Raw genomic sequence first — 23,627 nt, forward strand, 5'->3', positions numbered from 1 at the left:
ATGTTGAAGTAGGAGCAAAAAAAAAAAAAAAAAAACCAAATTGATGGAAATATTTTTAAAGACATTTTATATGTATATGTATTTTATACCTGGAAATATGTGTGACATTACAAATTTGCAGCATTTAACAGATATATTCATAGTTGTTTATTTTAAAAAATCAATTCAAGAATTTTCCTGTTTGTTCCTTTCTGGGGAGTCCCCAACTCACATCTCTCTTGCCTTTAATTTGGGTGTTTTGAATTTCCACCCTGTTTTTCTGCAGAAACATGGGACTAGGAATCTTGCTGTATGTAAAGGGGCTTGCTTTATCCTCAGTGTGGACAAAAGTTTATGTAGCAATGCTGAAAGAGAACTCAACCATATTTTTACTTTGGCATATCTGGCACCTTCCTCTGCCTAATTGTGGGTGGTGGGAGATACAGACCCTTTATGTCCTAACCTGTGTGTGCCTTTTGTGTTGCTGGTGCTGTATGGCAGGGAGTGGGTAATAAGTAGGACATGGGAAGACAATATACTGGAGTGGTGGTAAAAATATAGCTAAAAATGAGCTGTGAGGAAGGATCAGCAAAAGCTGAAAACTGGGAAGGGAAGGGGAGTTTGGGACATGGGGAAAAGATGGGGCCAGGCACTGGGCACTCTGGGCAGGCAAGAGGTGCTATTGCAGGTGTCTTGGCATGAGAAATGCCACCCTTTTCCTTTCTGTCCAGGCACTCATTGTGTGGTTGAGGGAAGAGGATTTGAGCTGAGGATTTGTGCACACCGAATGTTGCTGGTGAAGGTGGAGATTCCACTGTGGTGTCTGGTTAGGATAGCCAACTGCTGGTACATGAGGCCTCTCTTGATTGTGCGTTCACGTGGGCAGGCAGTCTGTTCTCTCTCTCCTCGGTGTCCTGAAAGGAAAGTAAAATCTCTCTCTCTGTAGTGAATATCAGTCATCAAATGTCTAAGCTGTCTGCCTGGCTCAGATTAAGCCTGCTACCTACCTCTTCCCTTCTTCCCCACCCACCAAAGCCTTTGTAGCCCTGGTCAATTATGCCCCTGGCATTTTGGCTGGCCTAGGCTCCATTATGTAACCTCTTCCTCCCTGGCTGGGAGTATCGTTAAGGTTCTGTACAGGGATTGGGACCTCCTCCTCCTGGTGTGGGAGTGGGGGTAGAAAATTTGGATTTTTATTAGGCAATAAAAGGTTATAAATAGTTCCTATTGTTAACTTTTCTCCCTTGCTCAAAGCAGAATTGGCCACCTTTCTTGACGAATGGAAGTGTTCTTATGCTTGGCTGTGGGCTGAGCTAAATTTCAAATGCAGCAATTGGTCTTGCTGGAGTGGCCTGAAGTTTGCATGTGTGCTCACTCCTGAGACCTGAGCTTTCTGATTCGGCATCTTTAGTCTTCATGGGGACCAAAGTTATGAGATCTATGGGCTACAAATACAGGACCAGACATTTCGGTTTCGCCTGAAATTAAGAAGCAGGGTATGTTTTCATTTTTGTTAAGTGTCTCGGGAGCAGGTGTAGTTCACGTCTGTGGGTGCATGGTCTTGCCTGAAGATAGCCATGATGTTGGTGGATGCCGCAGCAGGGTGAGCTTTCTCTTGGTTGATGAGGAGAGGTGGCTGCCTAACAAAGTCGAACAGGACAATTAGTATAGAATGGTATGTTTTGTAATCCCCATGGAGTCCCTTAAATTTCAATGGGGTTAATTAAGTCTGCCATGTCAAAGTGTAAATTTTATCCAGATCACTGAACCCAAAGGAAATGATAGAGCCGACTAAAACTAATTGAGTTTGAGTGTTAACCCAGGTGTGTACAGATACATGATGGGCAAACCCTCATTTTTAGGGTTTAATATCAGCATCATCACTTAAGTTTTACTTTAAAATGTGGTCTTCTGTTATCTATATTTCCCTTGGACATTCTTGTTTAAGTTTCTAAGACGCTTTTCTGGGTGCTGTCAATAATAGCATGCCAGTATTCACCAGACTAACAGACTCCACTGAAAACAGCTCTTTGTGAAGTGCTTTTGAAATTTCCCATGGACTCGTGAAATAGCAGGTTATTCCTAAATGCTTGAAATACTTTCCTGCCTCACTTTTGCTTTGGTCATGTAGCTCCATCAACTCTTGATTCTTAGCTCTCTGTTTGGATTTTAAATCAAAGGAAAACAAACCAAAGAACATTTTGAATTTGCTTATTTATAAGTAATTGCATTTATGTGTGATGCACGTTTTAGCCTTCTGGGAAGTGTGGGTTCGATGATGTAAGAAGATGAATTTTTTTTTGTAAGCAAATAACTTGTTTCTTAAAGCTTGCAAGCTGGGGACTGTAGCTCACACCTGTAATTCCAGTGATTCAGGGGGCCGAGGTGGGAGGATTGCTTGAGACTGGGAGTTTGAGAACAGCCTGAGCAGCATAGTGAGACCTTGTCTCTTTAAAAAAGAAAGGAAGGAAAGGAAGGAGTTTGCACTCACCTGGAAACATCTTTAGGAAAAAACATTCTATCTTAGTATGTTTAAATATATTTGAAACACAGCATTTTCTACTCTAGGAAAAACGGATGACTTAATAAAATCATCAAACAAAATACAAAGCCCATTTTCATGTCAAATGGTCCTAATAAGCTGTGTGTCAGGTAGAATAAGTTCTTAATGAGTAAGCTTCCTATTGCTAAATCAACATATCGTTTAGGGGAAAGCTCATTTACCCACAAACAATATCTGCGTTAAGGGAAAAAAAACCTTCAGATAAATTAGAGATGATTGTTATAACAGGATCCACGCTTTATTTCTTTGATTTAGGGGTAACCATAATTTATTTAGGTTTGCATTAATATATTTCTAGCTACTAGGGCAAGTTTTGAGGAGGGGCTAGAAAGTTTTTAGTCTCATAAGTCATTGCTCTGTGAAGATCAATCTCAAAATATGATGAAACTTTTTTTAAATGATATCTTCATGTCAGTCAGTGACGAAACTTTTTTCCTGGCAGTCTGACTAAGCAAATAAAGCTAACACATATGAAAGAGCAGAATAATTCAATGTGAAACTATCTTCTGGGAGGAGAGGGTCTTTAGTTATATGCTTAAGTAAATATTTTGATACCTTATGTTTTTTATTACCATTTTAGATGGTCAGACAGGTATAGAGGATTAAAGAGGTATAAAGCATAAAGGGGCTGGGTGTGGTGGCTCGCCCTTATAATCCCAGCACTTTGGGAGGCCAAGGCAGGAGAATTGCTTGAGCCTAGGAGTTTGATACCAGCCTGGACAATGTAGCAAGGCCTCATATCAACAAAAAGTCAAAAAATTAGCCAGATATAGCAGTGCACCTCTCTGGTCCCAGCTACTCAGGATGCTGAGGTGGGAGGATTCTTTAGCCAGGGAGGTGGAAGCTGCAGTGAGCCATGATCACACCATTACACTGCAGCCTGGGAGACAGAGTGAGACCCTGTCTCAAAAAAAAAAAAGTGAAAAAAAGAATATGATTGAAAAAAATGCATAGTCATGTTTTATTTCTTAAAACCCTTTCTTTCCCAAGAGGTAACCTTGATCCTGCTTTAATTTTCAGCTTCTTAGAATGGCAGTGCAACATTCAACCAATGGTTGAATGAGGTTTTATTTGATGGAAGTATAGAAAAGGGGCATACCTGGTATGTGTGCACAGAAGAGAGACTCTTGGAAGTAGAGTATCCATTCATTCTGCATTTCCTTGAATAAGTATTCAGTTTCTATGCTGTGAAAAAACACTATGCTAAATGCTATTTGAGATGGGTTATCAAGCATGGGTCCTGTCTTTATGGAGCCTTAGAGTCTGGCAGGGGATTAGAGACCTGTATATGGCGTGACTGTAATAAAGGAGGAAGTAATGACTAATCCAAGCTGTGTGATGAACTAGGAGTTCAGCAGATGGAGATTCTCTATTTTTTTTTTTTTTTTTTTTTGAGATGGAGCTTCATTCTTGTTGCCCAGACTGGAGTGCAGTGGCACAGTCTCGGCTCACTGCAACCTCTGCCTCCTGGGTTCAAGCGATTCTTTTGCCTCAGCCTCCCGAGTAGCTGGGATTACAGGCACCCACCGCCACACCCGGCTAATTTTTGTATTTTTAGTAGAGACAGAGTTTTGCCATGTTAGCCAAGCTGGTCTCAAACTCCTGACCTCAGGTGACCCACCCGCCTTGGCCTCCCAAAGTGCCAGGATTACAAGTGCGAACCACTATGCTTGGCCAGCAGATGGAGATTCTGAGCATGGAAAGACTTAATTGTAGCTATGCCTTAAGATTTACCTGTTGTCTTAGTTCAGGCTGCTATAACAAAAATACCATAAACTGAGTGGTTGATAAACAACAGTAATTTATTTCTTAGATTTGTGCAGGATGGAAAGTCCAAGATCAAGGTAGTCTGCAGATTTGGGGTCTGGCAAAGGCCTACTTGCTGGTTCATAGACAGCCATCTTTTTGCTGTAACCTCATGTAGTGGAAGGGACAAACAAGCTCCCTCATTTATAAGGTCACTAATCCCATTCTGAGACACAGACATTCAGACTATAGTACGTGGCAACAGAGTAGGATGGAGTGGGACTGGAAAGAGACTACGGTTAAGAATGATTAAAAAATTGTTTTAGTAATTAAGTGAGAGGATAAAGTCTCAAATTAGTTCAGGTTCAGTGAAGAAGAGGTGGTGAATGGAAGATTCTTGAGGAATTGCAAGGACCTGGGAACTGAAAAAGACAGAGACAACAACTTCACGCCTTTGAGACCACATTAAGGGACACTGGAGGAGCAGGGACTGTGTTTTGGTTTGAGTTCAGTTTCAGGCATGGAGACTTCAAAGTGCTGGTGGAACATCTTCGCAAGTGTCCAGCCACCAGTTGGAAAATCAAACTGGGTATCAAGAAAGAGCTCAGGATATAAACTGGTCAGCCATTTGCTTGGAAGTAATGCTGTGAGACTAGGCAAGTTACAGTAGGGAAACAGGTCGTTGACAAAAGAGGGCTGAGAAACTGGTATTTCATTTATGAGCTGGGACTAAGGTGCAAGGAGCACCAGCAAGAGGGACAGGAAAAGACCACACAAGACCACAGTATTCTGGTAATCATGGATTTTTCCCTCTGTGTGTCTCTTACAACAATTGCCACTTTATACCTTGCAGGACAGAGTGCTTGCAAGGCCGTAGATCTACAGGAAAATCAAAAGAGAAGGTGTACTACAAAAAAGGAAAAAGAAAAATTAATGTGCTTAACAGGGCTGTTTCAGGAGACTTGTGAAGGTCTGTGACTTGAAGTTATAGGTATGTGATAAGGAAATGGAATTGGTGAGAATAGAGAGCCCTCTTTTACCCCCAAATTAAACAGATAAAGATGGGAGATCAGTTACTAGGATGAGAGATGTGTGCAGCTGTGGTTTTTATTTAACACAGTTGTAGACTTAATTCAGAGGTTCTGACAGTGTAGGCTGTGGACTTCTAGTCCCCAAGACACTTTCAGGGGTTTGTGATGTCAAAACTCTTTATAATAGTACAAAACCCTTTTGTAATAATACGGAGAAGGTATTTACATTTCCCTTTGTTGACATTTGCACTGATGCTGCAAAAGCAATTGTTGGTAAAACTTCTGATACCTTAGTATATGTCAAGGCACTGGCTACACTGGTAGTCCTGGTGTTCTTCACTGCCAAGTGCTGGCTTCACAAATAATTCACTGAAGAATGTCCTTGATGAAGCACTAAAAGTAATGTTATTAAATCTTGACCCTTGGAGACCCATCTTTTTAATATTCTGTGTGATGAAGTGGGAAGTCTGAGTAAAGCCCTTCTGCATGCTCGGAAGTCTGATGGTTTTCTTGAGGCAGAGCACTTGTATGATTGAATTGCAAGCTGAACTCGCTACTTTTAAAATGGAATATTGTTTTTATTTGAAAGAATGACTGACAACCCATGGTTATTCTGAAGTAGGTATTTGGCACATTTTTTCTTCAACAGGAATGAAATTAGCCTGGCACTTCAATAGAAAAAAAAAAAAAGGCCAGGCACGATGGCTGACACCTGTAATCCTAGCAATTTGGGAGGCCAAGGCGGGCGGATTGCCTGAGGTCAGGAGTTTGAGACCAGCCTGGCCAACATGGTGAAACCTTGTCTCTACTAAAAATACAAAACTAACTGGGCATGGTGGTGGGCACCTGTAATCCCAGCTACTCGGGAGGCTGAGGCAGGAGAATTGCTTGAACCCAGGAGTTGGTGGTTGCTGTGAGCCAAGATTGCACCACTGCACTCCAGCCTGGGCCACAGAGCGAGACTCTGTCTCAAAAAAAAAAAAAAAACAACAAAACAAAACAAAAAAAAACAAAAAACCAACTCTGACAGGATTAGTTGCCCATAATAAAACTTGACATTTCAAATGAAAATTAGGTTTTTTGGGAAATTTTACACCTGTCACATTGAGCTTGATGGTTTCCCAAGACTTTTCAATTGAGATCTCTCGTAATGTGATGTTTTGATATTATGTGATAACATTTGTCAACATTTGCAAAATCTGTAAAACCATTATTTTCCAAATGACCCAATGCATAATGTTACACAGTCTTGCATGGGTAAAAGATCCATTTACAGTATAAAACAGACCATTGGATCTTACTGTAACAGTACAAAAAATTCATCGATGCAGATTGAGTCAACAGTGGAACTTACCTTTAAGAAATTGCTGTTTCCAGCACTTGGGGAGGCTGAGGCAGGAGGACTGCTTGAGCCCCAGGAGTTCATAACCAGCCTGAGTAACATAGCAAGACCCCATCTCAAAAAAAAAAAAAAAAAAAAAAAAAAAAAAAAATGGAAATTGCTGATTGTCAAGTTTTGGCTGGGTATCAGAGAAGAATTTCTATAATTAACTAAAAAGACTCCTGTCTTTCCCAATTATGTATCTGTCTGAGGCTGCAGTTCTTCACATGCTTCAACCAAAAGAACTGATCCCCACAGATTGAATGCAGAAGAAGTTATACAAATCCAGCTGTCCTCTATTTAATTGCACATTAAAGTTTGTAAAATTGTAAAAACAATGCCATTCTTCTTAACTAATCTTTAAAATCAAAAGTACAGCTTTTTACCTATGTACCCATAAGTTAAAATTTAGTTTTTTAATTAAAATATTAATTGTTAACATGAAGTTTTATAACATTAAAATGAACTAACATACAGTTTAAAAATTCTTAGTTTTAATATCTAGTATGATAAATGTCAATAGACATAACCCTCCTAAGCCTGCAGTCCTCAGTTTTTAAGAGTGAATTCTGAGACCAAAAAGCTTAAGAACCTACTGGCTCTAGAGGAAGGAAAAGAGGGAGAAAATAAAAATAGAGATGAGAAAATTGATCCAAACTCTGATAGTCCTCTAGACTTAAGAGGATGAAGACTTTAAGTTGAGTGATGGATGACTGAAGAAGAAAAGGCTAATTCAGGAGGCATTTTGAATGGAGAAATAGTAAGTTTGGTGATAATTTCAATATGGGGTGGATGACATGAAAATTTTGAAGGTAACCTGCATGATAACTATGTTTTGGTATTGCAGACCAGAAACAACAAATTATTGACAGAAACAGAGCAGGTCCATGGATGGATGTTCCTTTTTATTTTTATTTTTCTGAGACGGAGTCTCGCTCTGTCTCTCAGGCTGGAGTACAGTGGCACAATCTTGGCTCACTGTGACCTCCGCCTCCTGGGTTCAGGTGATTCTCCTGCCTCAACCTCTGGAGTAGCTGGGATTACAGGCACGTGCTACCATGCCCAGTTAGTTTTTTTGTATTTTTAGTAGAGACAGGGTTTCACCATGTTGGCCAGGCTGCTCTCGAACTCCTGATCCACTCGAACATCTGATCACTCAGGTGATCCATCTGCCTCGGCCTCCGAAAGTGCTGGGATTACAGGTGTAAGCCACCGCATCCGGCCAATGTTCCTTTTTAAATACTGTTTTTGGAACTCTAAGGAGGGAGGGAATGGTAATGGCTGAGAAGGAGCAGACAGAAACAGGGAAAATACTTGTAAGTAGGAGTCATGGAAGGCAAGAGGATAAGTGAGAAGCAGGTCATGGATAGATAGAGGCAGAGGATTAATGTCAAACCAAGGGCCTGTCTCATTTAGCAGACTAGATTCACAAGTGCTATCTTGGACACTTGGTATTAAGTCAACTTCGAGGTCACATGGTGATAGGTCACATGATAGTGAACTGACGAATGTCGTCAGCAATACTCAGTGTTCTTTAGAGTCTGAGGAGGACGAGAATGGAGGAAAGACTTCTCTATGGAGTGATAATACTTGGTGATCACTAGGGACCTGCGCTCCTCCCCTGGCTTTAAACAAGAGAGAATGATTGGAATGGAAAATGAAAGCAGTAAGGTGCAGGCCAAATTGGGATGGTTTGGTAAGCAGAAAAAGGAAGGGGGTTTGTTGTCATGGAATAGTGAGTTTACAAAAACCTATTTGAGGCAGAAAAATTATGAACAGAAAGTTATGTAAGACATACAAGCACACTTGAAAATAGATATGAACTTGTGAAACCAGAAAATAATCGCAAGGAAGTGCGGGCTCTTGGTGTTAAAGTTGGTAGAGAGAATGACCAATTCTATAGCATCTTGTGGTTTATAAGCTGTTTCTCACACACATTGGTTTTGAGCCTCACAACCTGTAGGAGGTGGGTATGGCCACTTCCCTCACTAAGAAAGTGCAGTTGAGAGAGGTTCAGTACCCAAAAGGATCTGGATGGTGGTTAGCACTGAGAACACCCTGGATTCCCAGACAGTGGCGGAAGATGAGAAGATGGTTGTAGAGGGCACTGATGGTTTAAAGTTATGATGGCAGTCGGGAGCTGGTCAGTTTGTGGACTGCTCCTTAGCATTTGTGCCCCCATATGTGGTCCACAAGGGGGTGAGAAGCTGAATAGAGGCAGTCAGAAGTGATTCAAGAACTTCCCTTTACCTTTCTCCATGCAGTCAGCCTTTCACGCTATGTAATACTGAGGGTTCCATGAATGTGCTGCTGGGGGGAGTATTGTTCTCCACTTGCCTAATGGATTCCCAGGGCATTCTCTCATCTCCAAATAAAGCCATCATACAGCCGTCAGATATTTAAATCTGTGAAATGAAAAGTGAAGTCTTCTCTCCAGCCCTCATCCCACTGGTATTGGGTAATGTACACCCATTATTGATCAGCGATTTAATATTAACTACATGAATGAAAATAGACTTGCTATTTAGAGTGGTCTGTTTGAATTTGACTTGGAGGTGCTTTTGTAGTAACTAGCCTAAAACCATCTGGCTGTTCAGATCTCAGTATTTAGTGAACAGCTATGCAAGTAGACATGTATTTCCATTTCACAGCGTGTCCATGTGAGTTCCTAAGCAACTCATCACTCCCAAGATGGCTCAGTGACACTTCTCCCAGGCGGTCCTTCTGCCAGAGTGAGAAGTTCAGTGAGAGAGGGCTCTGTGCATTAGGGAAGGGAGAGATTCAGACAGCTTCATTGGATTAAGGAATTCAGACTGAAGGGGACCTTTTAAGGGGATGATCACTGGGATGACATTTTAGAAGACAGAATAATATGAAAAGACAGGTGGGAAGCCTTTGGAAGAATACAGTTGCAGTGCCTTAATGGATATAAACATGAAGTAAATAAAATAACGTCTGTCCATTCATCCCAACCCCGGGTAAGGGTTTAGAACTTGGGTAGCAGCAAAGTCCAGGTTGTGCAGTTAAGAGAACAGTTGATCATGAATTTGGGTGTCCCTTTTCCTTTTTTTTTTTTTTTTTTTTTGGAGACAGAATGTTGCTCTGTTGCCAAGGCTGGAGTGCAGTGGCACAATCTCGGCTCACTGCAACCTCTGCCTCCCGGATTCAAGTGATTCCCCTGCCTCAGCCTCCCGAGTAGCTGGGATTACAGGCATCTGCCACTACGCCCAGCTAATTTTTGTATTTTTAATAGAGATGGGGTTTCACCATGTTGGCCAGGCTGCTCTCAAACTTCTGACCTCAGATGATCCACCCGCCTCGGCCTCCCAAAGTGCTGGGATTACAGGCGTGAGCCACCGCACCCGGCTTAGGTGTCCCTTTTCAACTCAACCATTAAAGCTGGAATCGCCACTGCTCCCCAACTTATCTGAAATGGGTTGGATGGTAAGTTGTTTTTGGATTAAAAAAAAAAAATGAAACACTTGAGATCCTGGAGTATCTGTTTGCAGACACAGTGTGGAGGCAGCAGCCACTGTGCTGGGGTGTTGCGGTCCCCCTGCTGCACATAGGACCTACATAGGATCAGGGTCCTCCTGCCAGTCCCAAGTGAGCCACAGGCATGGCCCTGTTTGTTGTGGAGGTGAATTCTGTGGAGCCAAGCTCCTGCAGCTGCTCTCTCTGCCTCCACGGCAGCTGCCAAATGGGAGTCATTTCTGGCTCTCTACACAGAGTGTTTCAGGTTGAACCAGAAGCTAGACATTCTGGGGCATAATCACAATCGGGAGCAGTGTGGAGATTGTTTCGAAAGGGAAGGGGGGTGTGGAGTGGAGAAACTGCGGAGATCTGCCCCCTCACCCACTTCTTCCCTTTCCATCTGCGTCCTGTTCCCTCCCTCCAGCCCAGCTGCCACCTGAGATAAAGTAGCTGCCCTGCCTGGGCCCGGGGCAGAGGCGGAGGGAGGGCGGTGCCATCCTGTTCTGAGGGCCTCACCCCTTGGGTGTGCCTCTGTCTGCTGATCTGGTTTGGTTCCCGCCCTCCTTTCCCAAACGCCCAGCTACCTTGAGAATCAAAATGTGCTTTGAGGTAGGAAGGGACCTCCTGTAGAGCGGCTTTGGCATGAGGTCGACCCGCCCTGGGGTGGCTCCTTTTCCCTGTGTTGGCTTGGGGCCACTGCCCCTTCATGTTTGGCTCACATGGTCCAGAAGCATCAGGGCTCTTTTAACCCAGAATAGTCAAGCCTTGGTTTCCTTACCCCTGCAGTTTTCCAGAGCAGCTAAAAAACATCCAAGCTGGCAAACCATTCTTCCTACTCCAAACATTAGGAGCTTTTACCAGTAAGCAAGGGGTGGGAAGCTTTTCCTTTCTTGAAGATGCTGCCAGCGTAGTTTCCCTTGTAGCTGCCATCCTGGGTGCATGACTTGCAAAACTGATATGTGAGTGACAATAAGCCAGATGGCCTTTGCAAAAGCTCTGCTTATTTTGATTTTTGTGGTTCCTTACAAAAGGCGAAGTGAGCATTGATCTTTGTTGGTGCTGTTGTAGCTCAACGGCAACATCACTGTGTTGTTTCCTCATTTTATTTTTCCTAAAACCTTTACCCATTATCTGCAGATTTTCACATCTAAGCAAAATAGGTTCATATGAGTCCAGTTACCTAGACAATTAATAAAAAAGAGCAAAATGTTGAGTGACTATGTCATAGGTTACTTATTGTTAAGTTACAGCTTTGTAAGCAGCTTGCTTTGTAAATTTTTCATCCCCTGATGGATGCTGATTTTAGAAGGTGAGAGACGTGTTAGAAGGATGTGAATATCGTTTTATTTATTGGCCATAATTAAGTGCCTTTGGGCTTTTTGGGTACAGGGTTAAACTACAGCTCAACATTTAAATCAAATCCAACCATAAAATTCTCTTAAGTACAAAAAAACCAGATGACCAACCTCAGGGAGAACCCAAGAAAAGGTGGGCTTTCCCAGCATTGCTGTGCAGCATTCTGAGAATACAGCTTGATTTTTCTACATCTTTGCATGGGCAACAGTGGTACTGGGTCCTGTCTCTTGGGACAAGTTTCACTGTGATTTTAAATTTTTGTTTCAACTTGGATTCTTCACGATTGACCGTCAAGTTGAAATCCTGGTTTTGACTTTCACTACTGTGGGATGTGCACAGGAAGTTTTCCACCAAATTTTCCACGTCGTTCCCCTGGCTTGTTTAATGAGAGCTTGGATTTCAGTTTTACTCCAACACCTAAATAGCCTGGGTCTCTACCAGCATGCCACTAGGGTTTTACTTCATTTCAGCCTCCTGTGGGCATTGGACACCCGGCACTCTGTGAGGGTAACATGAAAGATAGGCCCTTTTCTTACCCAAGCTGATGTCTGAAGTACCCGTTTTCACATGACTCGGAATTAGGAATTGCCGTCAGATAACACTGGGCTCTTCTCACTCACCCTTTGCACTTGGAGTTTTTGTTTTACTGTTTCCTTAACCTGTCACAGTCCCTTAATTAGAATGTATTGCTAGAGGACAGGGTGCGTTGTCCAACTTTGTGCGCATTTTATAGAAACACACAAAATCACCAGACAAAGCAGCTGTAGTGTGAACTCATCCAGATGCGATACTGAAATTCCCCAGAGGGGCATCTTCATTGTTTTCTTTCTTTGTTCCAGAAGCAAAGGCCGATAATGAACCGAGCTGTTCGCCGGCAGCTCAAGAACTGTTGACAAGGCTGGGATTTTTACTGGGAGAAGGGATCCCAAGTGCCACACACATAACCATTGAAGACAAAAATGAAACCATGGTAATGCCCGAGGAAGACACTACATTGCATACCTCTTCAGAGGATGAACGAAGCAATAACCATCTTCTCCCTTTCCTTGAGCAGGGAAGCCATTGTTCAGTTAAATGAGTTCTGGGCTGTTGTGTATTGAAATTTATTTCAACAGTTTGGTTCTGGGTTTTTGCAGTGGGGAGGTAGGGAAAAGCAGAAAGAAGCAGAACGTAAGAAAATGTCCACATTAACCTTCTAGTCACCACCCAGAGAATAATGGCCACATGAATTAAAGAGGCTAAAAGAATGCCTTCATAATGCTACCAGTACTTTTACCTTTATAGCACCGTTCTTCTCATCTGGTTGCTTTGGTATACGCTTTCCTGTGCCTTTTTAGCTGTTGAGATTTTGGAGGGTCAGTGGGGTGAGGAAAAGATTTATAGGAGATGAGGCAGAGACAAAATAAGATGAGATCAAATGGTCCATCTATCAGGAAAGCACTTCCCCTCCAAGGGAGCAGCAGCATGCACCCTGCCACCTCCCAGATGTGATGTGTGCATCTGAATAGCAATGCAGGATGGAGCTTCTACCCTGGTGAAGGTCTCTGCACTGCAAGGGAGGGTGTCATGCATTGATTGAGACTGAGTGGTCACCAGTCTCCTTCCCCTGATTGCAGAGCCCATAAATCTTGAGGAATTGAATCAGGTTGCAGTGTTCGTGAAACATCACAAAAACAGAGCTCCCAGGTCTTCCGTACAGAGGTCAAATAACCCATTTGTCTTCTGCAGACTTCAAATGAAAGGAAGTCTGCCTGTTTGCCATTTCTGTTGTACAAATGTGCATCCTCACTAAATTATTGCTAAGACTGACCTTTTAATAAAAAGGAAAATCACAAAGGAGGGGAACCGAACAAAGATACTGCTTTCTCAAAATTTGGAAGACCACATATACATTTATATAGATAAAGCTCCATGAATCCATATCTATACACACATATCTCTTTAGATTTTTTTTTTAAAACTTCCGTTTTCCTGTTCTTAGTTTTATTGTTTTAGCACAAAAACAAAAGCATGTGTCGAAGCATCCTGTGTAAGCCGTGCTAACTCCTCCTTCCATTCATCTTGCAGTGCACAGCTCTGAGTCAAGGCATCAGTCCTTGCTCCACACTAACAAGCAGCACCGCATCTCCTAGCACCGATAGCCCCTGCTCAACCTTGAATAGCTGTGTCAGCAAGACGGCAGCCAACAAAAGTCCCTGTGAGACCATTAGCAGCCCTAGTTCCACCCTGGAAAGCAAGGACAGTGGAATTATAGGTAAGAAGCACACTGCTCGGTAACATAATGGCTCGAATCTCATCAACCAGAGCATTCACCAGGCACTTCCTCAGAGGGTTTTAGCATGGTCTGTGAAGGTCAGTCTGCCAGCGCCTGCTCTGTTCTTTGCAGGCAGCACTGACTCCATGTGTAGCTGAGAGAGTGGAGCATTGGCTTTTACATTCCTTGATGTTTACTTTATAACAGTCAGCTCATTTGTTAAAAAAAAAAAAAAAAGGAATTCCAGATCAGATCTGGCCTGTGAAACAAAAATCATTGCTCTTCTATATTCAGTTCCATTTGTTGGGCATCAGGTCCCACTGGGGCACACAGCAGAGCAATGAAATTCCTGCATATTAAGACGTCGTCTTATCCCAATCTCAAGGTCACTTATTTTCCTGATGATAGCTCAGGCGTATGTTTTCTAGGGTTTCTTATCATGGGATCTGACTGCGTTTTGAGGCCAGAATTTTCTAAGGATGACCTCCCTGAGCCCCTACACCCACGTAATAAGTGTGGTTGTCCTGAAGCCTAGGAGTCAGGAGACTTGGGTTCCAGTCCGGACTCTTACGCCGATTTGCCCGGTGACTTGAGCAACATTGAATTTACCTTTTTGCACACTTTCTTTCTCTAGATCATTAAGGATTTTGATTAATCCAGTAGTTTTCAGTCCCAGGTTTGTATTAGAATCATCCATGGAATTTAAGAGTCTTTATTTTTATATGCCATCCCAGACAGACTGCATTTATGTTTCTGCAGCTGGGCTCCAGTGTCTGTGTGACTCAGGTCTCCAGCTTGGTGCCTTTCAGGTAACAGATGGGTGGGACCCCTGGAGGGGATTGTTCAGACCTTCCTCTGTTCCAAGATTATATTGCAGTTTCACGCAGAGCTCTTCTGAAAGATTTAACTCCCCTTTTGCTGAGTTATGCACGTGTCTTTGAGGGATAGTTTATGCTTTATTGTGGACTGAGTGCCACTTCCACATTAATATGTAATCAAATGGAATGAACGACCTTTGAGCTCCTTATTTTCTTTAGTCACCTGCAGTTTATTTCAAGTGTAATTTGGAAAACCAGGCAGCAGGTTCATCCAGTTTTCACTTTGGAGATTGCCCCAGAAGGTCTGTGAGATTCCTGGGATTGGGTTGTGGGCTCTTTGGTGTAGACCTCACTATAGCTTCTAGAGGGGCCCCTCAGCTTAAGGAAGGCGGCTTCTTGCCATAATTTTCAATTGAATCAGAATCTTTAATGGATTTTTGTTTTATTTTACCTTCATTCTTTATTAAGATGAAATTCACATACCATAGTATTCACTCATTTGAACCATTTGACGGTTTTTAGTATATTTTAAAAGTTGTGCAACTGTCACCACTATCTGATTTTAGAACATTTTCATTATCCCCAAAAGAAACCTTGTGACCATTAGAAGGCACACTCTATTTCCTACTCCAAGCTCCCCAGTCCTAGTCAACCAGTAATCTATTAATCTTTCTGTCTCTGTAGCTTATTCTGAACATTTCATATAAATGGTGGGCTGAGTTTTGTGTAGCAAATTTATATTCTTTTCACTCAGCTTGAAGGCCTTCCAGTGAGCTTGTTCTGCTAATTCCCCATTCTCATCTTACCCTGCTTCCCCAGCTGCTGTTTAGTCTAGTTCAGCTAATTTTTCCCAGCGTTACTTCTGTTCTTATGCCCTATCTCTTCTGAGCTGTCCACCATAGATGGATCTTTGGTATTTATTCTGAGATAAGCAGATGACTTTCTTCACAGTATTCTCGGTTCTTCTGAAATTTTGTCTCCTGCAGATAGTTTATCTTCAAGGATGTGGCCAGTGCAGCACTGTTTTGACAGGCTTTTTCTTTTGAACATCCTGGCCATTGGCATTACATGCCTTTGATTATAACCAAATTTTTTTTTTTTTTTTTTTTTGCTTTGACAGTTACAAACTTTTCTTGAGACAGGGTTTTGCTCTGTTGCCCAGGCTGGAGTGCAGTGGTGCAATTGTAGCTCACTGCAGCCAAACTTCTGGGCTAATGCAATCCTCCCACCTCAGGTTCCCGGGTAGTTGGGACTACAGGCATGTGCCACCACACTTAGCTCATTAAAAAATTTTTTAACATATTTCACTGTGTTACCCAGGCTGGTCTCAAATTTGTGGCCTCAAGAATTCCTCCCACCTTGGCCTCCCAAAGTACTGTGATTACAGGCATGAGCCGCTGTGCCCGGCCCAAACTTTTAATAACTGAGAGCCACCCATTCGTTTATTTCTCTTTCTCTCTCATTGAGATACAGTGCCACAATTTTTAAGGTATTCTAAGCAGAGGAAAGAAATGGTGCTGGTTTGGTTTTTTGTGTTGTCAATGAAATATTAAACTGCAGGAGGTTCTTAATACTTAATCTCATACAGCCCTACCCAGTAGCTGACTGATTAGACCCCTCTTACATGTTCCCCATAGTGTCTCAATATTCCCCTTCAGTGTATTTGTTCTTGTTTTGTTATTTAATTTTCTCTCCAGATGTAAACAGGGGTCTCATTAATCCAGCTATCTACTAGGTTCCTAGCATGGTGCTGGAAATGAGAAATTAAGGAAAGAGAAGTGTTGCCAGTGTCGAGTTGCATCGGGAGAGGGAACGTTCAGTTTATAAAGAAGCTATGCAGGATCCCCATTCCACATGGGCTTTGTCAAACCTTTCAATGTCTGTGTTGTAACCTCTGCCATGATGACAGAGTTAGCACATTTCATGACATTGAAGCTGTGTTTTTCCTCTGCTCAAGCCAACATTTTCCCATAACTCGGCTGAGCATGAAAAGTGGCAACTGTAGGTGAAAGCAGAAGGAATTAGGAAGTGGCTGGTAAGTCCCTCTCATCCAGAAGACCTCAGCTCTGGAGACCATGCCTCCCACTGTGTTTTCCTGCAGGTTGCAAGGGCTGTAGAGGGATGAGAGGGAGGCACTGCTGTTGACAGCGTTCCTCTGTTCTCCTTCCGTGACATGCAGAATTAGAACCTGTTGCCAAGGGACACGCTGGAGGTGTGGTAGGGAGGAGAAGGAAAAGACGCAAGAATTTCCTCTCCAGGCAGACTGTAGCCACAGGTCTTTGAAGAGGCAGGAGTGGTGGGGACAGAAAGGGGAAGAGCTTCCTTTTAAATCAATACAGGGTGTGCAGGTTCCACTGCCTCTTCACAGAGCAGGTTATCTATGACTCAGTTGTGGTTCTGTGATTGCTGGAGTAGGGGTGTGCCTTTTCCATCTGAAGAGCATGCCTGTTTTTATAAGGTGTAGCCTGGGAATGGCAGCTTTTGGGCATTGTAAGTGTTTCACAGAGTAAAGTATTCAAGAGCACCATGACCCTAGTTGGGCGGAGATGAAGATGAGATACCTTGGCTTCCTGCTTTGGAAGACCTAACAGTGGCTTGTAAAACAGGCTGGTGAGGACCCATGCTCCCAATTACACAGGGCCTGGAGAAGGCAGGAAGAGGCTTTCCATTTAATTTTCCATTTTAAGTAGTTTAATATTTGTCAGCCAGTAGAGCTGGGTTTGGAATGGCAGAGGCTTTGGGGGTGGACTGTTACAAAGTGCACACAGCTGCCGAGGCCTTGCAAGCTTTGGGCAGCTGTGGGCTCAAAGCAGGGTTCCACATACAGTATTCACATGGTTTATTCAGAGCAGTTTGGGGAAATTTCAGACAATGCTAAACCATCCTTTAAAATTCCTGGACCTTTCTTTACTCTTTAAGCTGATTCGCATCATGTTGGTTATATTTAATCTAAATATTTTTGTCCAGCAGATGCAGGGACAGGAAGCTTGTGTTCCCACATGCCCAGGCACCCAGTTTAGAAAGAAATATAAAGTATGTGGTTTCATCAGGACTGCCACAGGGTGCCCTGCATGTGTTCTGTTTCCACTGCTTAGGAGGAGAAAGGGCAGGCTAGTAACCAGTACAAGAATTTACTGGGCCCCTCCAGTCTTCCTCTCTGGAGGCCAGGGCTTAGCAAACCCCTCCTGCCCCTTGTTTCAACTGTATTATGTTATCCAGAGGGGAGTCCCGCTTTATCCTCTTTCAGGAGGTCCAAGTTCTTCTGACATAAATGTCTTTAGAAGTATAATAATTCTGTCATGTAGAAATACTGTCTAAGCTGAATGGGATTAACTGAATTCCCTATGATTATCTTTTTTATTTTTTTAAGTGAACTTCTTTACTCTTTACATGTTAAAATCATTGGCATTACCTAGAAGTTGGTGTCTGATTTTCAAATTTGCAATGTGAAAATCTTCTCAAGGTGAAACCCAACTGTACCCAATCACCATAAAATAGCTTTCAGTTACTTACTGTGAAAAGAAAAACTTTACAGAGTATGCTTTTAAAGGTGTTTCCTCCTTGTCTGAGAAAACATTTTTTCTCAGTGACATTCCTTTGAATATGTCTTGCTTCCAACTGTTACAAATGGAAACTGTAAGCTGTATTAATCCCAGTTTAGAAAGAAATATAAAGTATGTTTTCATTAGAATGTGTGAAAACCAATCTGATTTTCAAACAAAGCATCACTGAAAATGTGTTTTAAAGTGCTTTGAGATAAATTTAATTTGTGTTTATGTACATATCGTGATAAAATTTTAAGTGTGTATATTAGTTTCAAGAAAATAGGCTATTTCTGCATTTAGGAAGAAAGAGGATAGAGCCTGGATGAGAAGAAACAAAGAAAACCCAGCTTTCCTATCAAAATAAAAAGAAATCCTTCCTATCCATTAATGATAGATGTGCAGAGGGGAAGGACTTATTCTGGCTGAGGGAGGGGCCGTTAAGTCAGTCACTCTCTCCATTCGTCTTTTTAATCTGCCTTTCTTTACCTGTTGAGATGTGTAATCTCCGGAGCATTTTTGTAGTGTCCTGAATCGGCCTCCTTTGGAGAAACGGTGCTAGGACAGTTCCATGAAGGGAGGGGACCCTGAGGGAACAGTGGCTGCCTCTCCCCAGCTGGGTGTGTCTGCCACACAGAGCAGGTATGTAATCTACCTGCCCAGCTCTCAGCACCTGAGCTGGCAGGCATGAGCCGCCACATTCCACCTGGCTAGGTGGCTTTCTGGGTGATTAAGTGCTCAGAATTCAAGCTCTTCTGAATGCCTTTCCTTTGCTTTCCTCATGCTTACATTTGTTTTCTTCTTGCTCAGTTTGAAGCAGAGAGGCAGGTATGCATTTAGACAGGGGAATACCTTCGTAGAAACACTTCTGCAGAAGTAGCTTGCAGTAAAATATTAGACACCTGGTTAGTATCCTGCTAGAGTATCTTGCTAGAGTTTGATAATATTTATTTTTCTGCCTAGTTGCTTAGGATGTTTAAAAAAAAATTATCATGGGCTGACTTTTATCTTCCTTTGACTCTCTCCTACCTCCTGCTAGGCTTATAAAATGAAAGTGATTCCAGAGGTAGCTTTAGACCTTTTATTTCCTGGACTTTGTGCCCCAAGGGAGATAATCAGATGCAGAGGCACACAAAGATGAATTAATTGTACTTTATTTTCCTTTTTGACTTGTTGTAAATCCTGCCCTTTTGATTTTATGCTAATACTGCTTTGTTGCCACCTGTATCGCCCTGCTCACTACTAAATTGAAATGCTTTGAAATTGATTTGGTAATAACTATTTAGACTGTTTCAAGTCTGGGTTAATATTCATTTTGCTACGTTGCCTGCAATTTTTAAAATCATCCTTAATTATAGAAGCCTTTTTTTTAAAATCTCTTGGGTGAAGAGAAGAATTTTTCTTTATGTATATAATTTGGTAATATGCTTAATGTGGGAAAGAAATTCTTGGCAATGATTTGAGTCAGCAAAGAGCCTGCTGTACTTTTATTCAGACTGTAGTTGGATTCTTCAGGCTGTTCTATTGGTGTAGCAAGCATTTATTGGCGCCTACTGTGTACCAGGAGCAAGCATGTTCAGTACTGGGACAATAAAGATAAGGCACAGCATCTATTGTCAAAACTTGTCCACTTGTGGGACTACAAAATGGTCTTCTGTTCTGTGGAGAGTCTGAGCAAGTTGTGAATTACTGAGAAGAATTTAAGACATGACAGTGATTGATACCTCTGACGGAAGATGTATGCTGTGGGCGCATAATGATACCACTAATCGAACTCTTTTCCAAAGTCTGGAAAAGGGTCATTAGACTGTGTGAGAAGCTCCAGTGTCTGTGCACAGGTTATGTGAGGCTTTATCAAAACACTGTGCTTTTTCTGGAAAATGTCATGTTATTTAAGTCCTTAGACTTGTCTCTGGAGACTTCTCAGTTGGGCAGTGTGGTGGGTCCCATCCTCCCCGCCCAGCACCACCTGCTCCCAGCCATTCCTTTAGGTGTTTCCTTAGTTGAAGAGCCTGATGAATGTGGCTGGGAATGTGCGGCTCGGGCCCCTGGCCTTGCTGCATGTCATAGCAGAGCATGCCTTGCGCAACACAGGTGAGCACTGAGCTAGAAATTTCGTACAGAGATCTGGCTGTCACAAGCCAGCATACGGGGCTCCCAGAGCAAGGCCAGAGAGGGAGCAGGGCCCTGTGGCGCATTGGATGGGGCTGGGCAGTTGCAGAAGGAGAAGCCAGAAGTCTCCTGAAGCTGAAGGTTACCATGCAGGGTTGGGGCGGGGGTCCCACCTGGGACATTCTGTTGGCATTCCAGGCAAGGTGGCTTAAGTGCCTTCACTAGACCCCTCAGGTTAAAAGCTGTGGCCGCAGGTGAACCAGGGACTTTGTTCTCTGTGGTTGGTTAGTTTGCAGGTGGCCGGGCCTAGGTAGGGGTGGAAATAAAAGTACAGTCTGGCAATTCTGGCCAGAAAGGTTTAAGTCAGGCCGGTTTCATTGTGCAGGCTTTCCCTTACACACTTGGGAAAATCCAAAATGTGGCCTGGTGGCTTGAATGCCTGCTGGGTGTGAGGTGTGGGTGCACAAGAGAGGGACGCCACCTGTCAGCCAAGAGGCCTACAGACTTCTGCGCGCGTTGCCTTGACTTGTCTCTGATCTTTTCCTGATCGGACTTCCTCTGCAGCAGTGAAACCTAATTTGGAAAGTTCTTAGTCACAGGAGGCAGTCTCGCTACAGTAGTGGGCTTTTCCTTTTCTATTCACTTCTTCCTTTCATCCACTTTTATGAGCGGCCATTATGTTCCTTTCTTGTTTGATCCTTAATTCATTGGTCCAGTGTTTTAACTTTAAATTCTTCCTGTCAACCACTAAGCTAAATACAGAGGTTAAAAAATGTTTGCTTTTTAAGTGCTACTTTATTTTTCTTCAGTTGTGTGGGGAGGAAAACATTCCTGAGCATTCATGATGCCTGAGGCACTTGACATATGCCCTTATGTCTAATTTTCTCTGCAACCCAGGGAAGGACAAATCACTCTCTTCAGAGAGTCCTCTCAAAATGCGTATTTTCTATTATAATAGTATATGTACATAATTTATAGTACATGTATTTGGGATGTATGCCAAGTCTTGTCTTAATAGTATGGTATGATCAGAGCAGTGTAGAGAGGCCGGGCATGGTGGGTCACGCCTGTTATCCCATCACCATGTGAGGCTGAGGTGGGAGGATCGCTTGAGCCCATTAGTTCAAAACCAGCCTGGGCAACATAGGGAGATTTTGTTTCTACAAAAAAACTTAAAAATGAGCCAGGGGTGCTGGTGGTGCATGCCTGTGGTCCCAGCTACTCAGGAGGCTGAGGTGGAAAGATCGTTTGAGCCCGTGAGGTCGAGGCTGCAGTGAGCTGTCATTGCACCACTGTACTCCAGCCTGGGCAACAGAGCGAGACCCTGTCTCGAAACAAAAAAAAACCATGTAGAGCCCCATTCTAGGATAGAGTGGGACTTAGGGCATTCTGGGGCTTTCCTGTCCATAGGGCTGTTAATGAGAGTCAGTGAGTTGAAGTGCAAAAAGAACTTAGAATGAAGCCTGGCATATAGTAAACAGTATTCCAATATTCATCTTAGCCACTGTTGTGATTTCTTAAGGATCATTACTTAATTCCTCACCAGTGAATTTGAAATGCTCAAAACAGACATGTAATAAACCAAGATTTTTCCTTTTCCATGAAGGTATGAGTTGGGGAAAGTATGAAATAGGGCAAGAGAAAAGATGCATTGAGGAGTCACATTCATAAGACTGTATTCTTCTTATAAGTGGGCAGAAAGCTTTACTCCTAAGTTTCCTGATAGCTAGTGGAAAGAGAGAAAACACATGTGGAAGGTGGTGTTTATAAAGACAAAAATGTCCATTGCCCAAAATGGTACCGGGTCTGGAGACGCATACCTCCTTGTGGACCCCCTAGAGGGGAGAAGCCAAGGTTGCAGCAAGCCCCTTGCTCTTTTCACCCTTGTCTTCTCTGTAGCTCAAAGAGAAGGTTCTGATGAATTGTTTGTGGCATATGTTTGGTATCTCTGGTCCTTAGTTCCTGAACAATTCTGGGCTAATGCTGTAGTCAGGTTACAGTTAGCTTTCTTCTTGATGTTCATTTAAGCCTATAACTTGATTTGGATCCCACCAAACTACCTATAGGGCCCTGGACCGACACTGATTTTATTTTTCTTTTGCTGATTCTATTTTAAGTGTCCATTCAACATAGAACCTTCAGAAGGCAAGGGGTAAAGTTGGATCCTAGCACTTTAGGAGGCCAAGGTGGGTGGATTGCTTGAGCTCAGGAGTTCAAGACCAGTGTGGGCAACATGGCGGCACCCTGTCTCTACAAAAATATAAAAAATTAGCAAGGTGTGGTACCTGTAGTCCCAGCTACTTAGGGGGCTGAGGTGGGAGGATCGCTTGAGCCTTGGAAGTTCGAGGCTGCAGTGAGCCGAGATAGCACCACTGCACTCCAGCCTGGGCAAGAGAGTGAGACCCTGTCTCAAAAAAAAAAAAAAAAAACTTTGGGAAGGTGAAGAAAGAGTGCAGTCGTATTTCAGAGCCTTGCAGAGCAAAGCATTTGATGACTGAGTGGATGACTTTTTAACAAGGCAGACTTCATGAACTTTTAGCCACAGATAATTAACTCCTTTTATGTAATGAGCACCATGCAAGCAAATGGTGTTTTAAAAATACGCTGTATGTATAATCAGAAGAATTGGTATTAGCTATACCACTAATTGTGCATACACATACGTGTGTGTGTGTGTGTGTGTGTGTGTGAGAGAGAGAGAGAGAGAGAGAGAGAGAGAGAGAGAGAGAGAGATCAGGTTCTCTGGAGCCTTTTATCTCTATAAGGTGGGGTTGATGGTTCTCAGCCTATCTGCCTCCTCTCATGGGATGTGATCAGGTATACGCCCTGTTATATTAAGAAAGTGAGCCAGGTGCAATGATGTGTGCCTATAGTCCCAGCTACTTGGGAGGCTGATGCAGGAGGACTGATTGAGGCCAGGAGTTTGAGACCAGCCTGGGCAGCATAGTGAAATCCCATATTATTCAAAAAAAAGAAAAGTGTTTTGGAAGTATTCTACCCCTGTACACTAGTACAAAGGAAGATAAGACACTGTCCTTGAGACTAAACGGAATGTAACACTAAATTGTGAGGCACAGCCTAACCTCACAGCCTTATAAAATTTAAGGCCTGATAAGTCGCTCAGTTTCAGAATGCCCTGTGTCTCGAGGGTGGCTGAGACCCAGTTTGGGTGATGATAGCAAGCTGTAATTGACAAAAGCTGCCATCTATACTAGTCCAAAGAACAAAATGCTAGAATTTTTAAATTATTAAGGCAACTATAAACATTAGCCAGTCTCTGGGAAATGTCAAATAGCACTTTTTAGAGATTTTTTTTTTTTAAGTCATCACAGTTAAGATGCTGCCCTTGATGTGTACGTGTACCCACAAGC

The 23,627-nt window shown here is 42.8% G+C and overlaps 1 protein-coding gene across 40 annotated transcripts in view, besides 4 other annotated features; it reads left to right on the forward strand.

Annotated features, from left to right (window-relative positions):
* Positions 1–23,627, forward strand: part of TANC1 (tetratricopeptide repeat, ankyrin repeat and coiled-coil containing 1) — a 264,020-nt gene that overhangs the window by 168,133 nt on the left and 72,260 nt on the right. For 26 of the 40 annotated variants that reach the window (NM_001350065.2, XM_047446107.1, XM_047446108.1 and 23 more), the window contains 2 exons: positions 12,370–12,500; positions 13,598–13,784. The exons of 4 other annotated variants lie outside the window; for them this stretch is intronic. In NM_001350065.2, the coding sequence (NP_001336994.1) occupies positions 12,370–12,500; positions 13,598–13,784 (318 nt within the window). Of the gene's footprint in view, positions 1–1,352; positions 1,476–12,369; positions 12,501–13,597; positions 13,785–23,627 lie in introns of those variants that run through there. 10 more of the 40 variants (XM_017005141.2, XM_047446109.1, XM_017005152.2 and 7 more) reach the window with 3 other exon arrangements.
* Positions 2,933–3,102: an enhancer, noted in NCBI's record as "experimental_53540 CRE fragment used in MPRA reporter constructs". NCBI's record gives its function as "activates a minimal promoter by MPRAs in K562 erythroleukemia cells, with activity observed for both the introgressed and non-introgressed 2:159996301 variant alleles {active_cell/tissue: K562}" and the evidence as "EXISTENCE:reporter gene assay evidence [ECO:0000049][PMID:34662402]".
* Positions 9,999–10,599: an enhancer, noted in NCBI's record as "H3K4me1 hESC enhancer chr2:160003282-160003882 (GRCh37/hg19 assembly coordinates)". NCBI's record gives its function as "activates a minimal SCP1, AML or CMV promoter by ChIP-STARR-seq in naive H9 embryonic stem cells {active_cell/tissue: H9 hESC(naive)}" and the evidence as "EXISTENCE:reporter gene assay evidence [ECO:0000049][PMID:30033119]".
* Positions 9,999–10,680: a biological region, named in NCBI's record as "Sharpr-MPRA regulatory region 14614".
* Positions 10,386–10,680: a silencer, noted in NCBI's record as "tiled region #14614; HepG2 Repressive non-DNase unmatched - State 10:DNaseD". NCBI's record gives its function as "represses a minimal TATA promoter and a strong SV40 promoter by Sharpr-MPRA in HepG2 cells {active_cell/tissue: HepG2}" and the evidence as "EXISTENCE:reporter gene assay evidence [ECO:0000049][PMID:27701403]".

The sequence above is a fragment of the Homo sapiens genome, chromosome 2 (assembly GCF_000001405.40).
Source record: "Homo sapiens chromosome 2, GRCh38.p14 Primary Assembly".
Taxonomy (NCBI): Eukaryota; Metazoa; Chordata; class Mammalia; order Primates; family Hominidae; genus Homo; species Homo sapiens.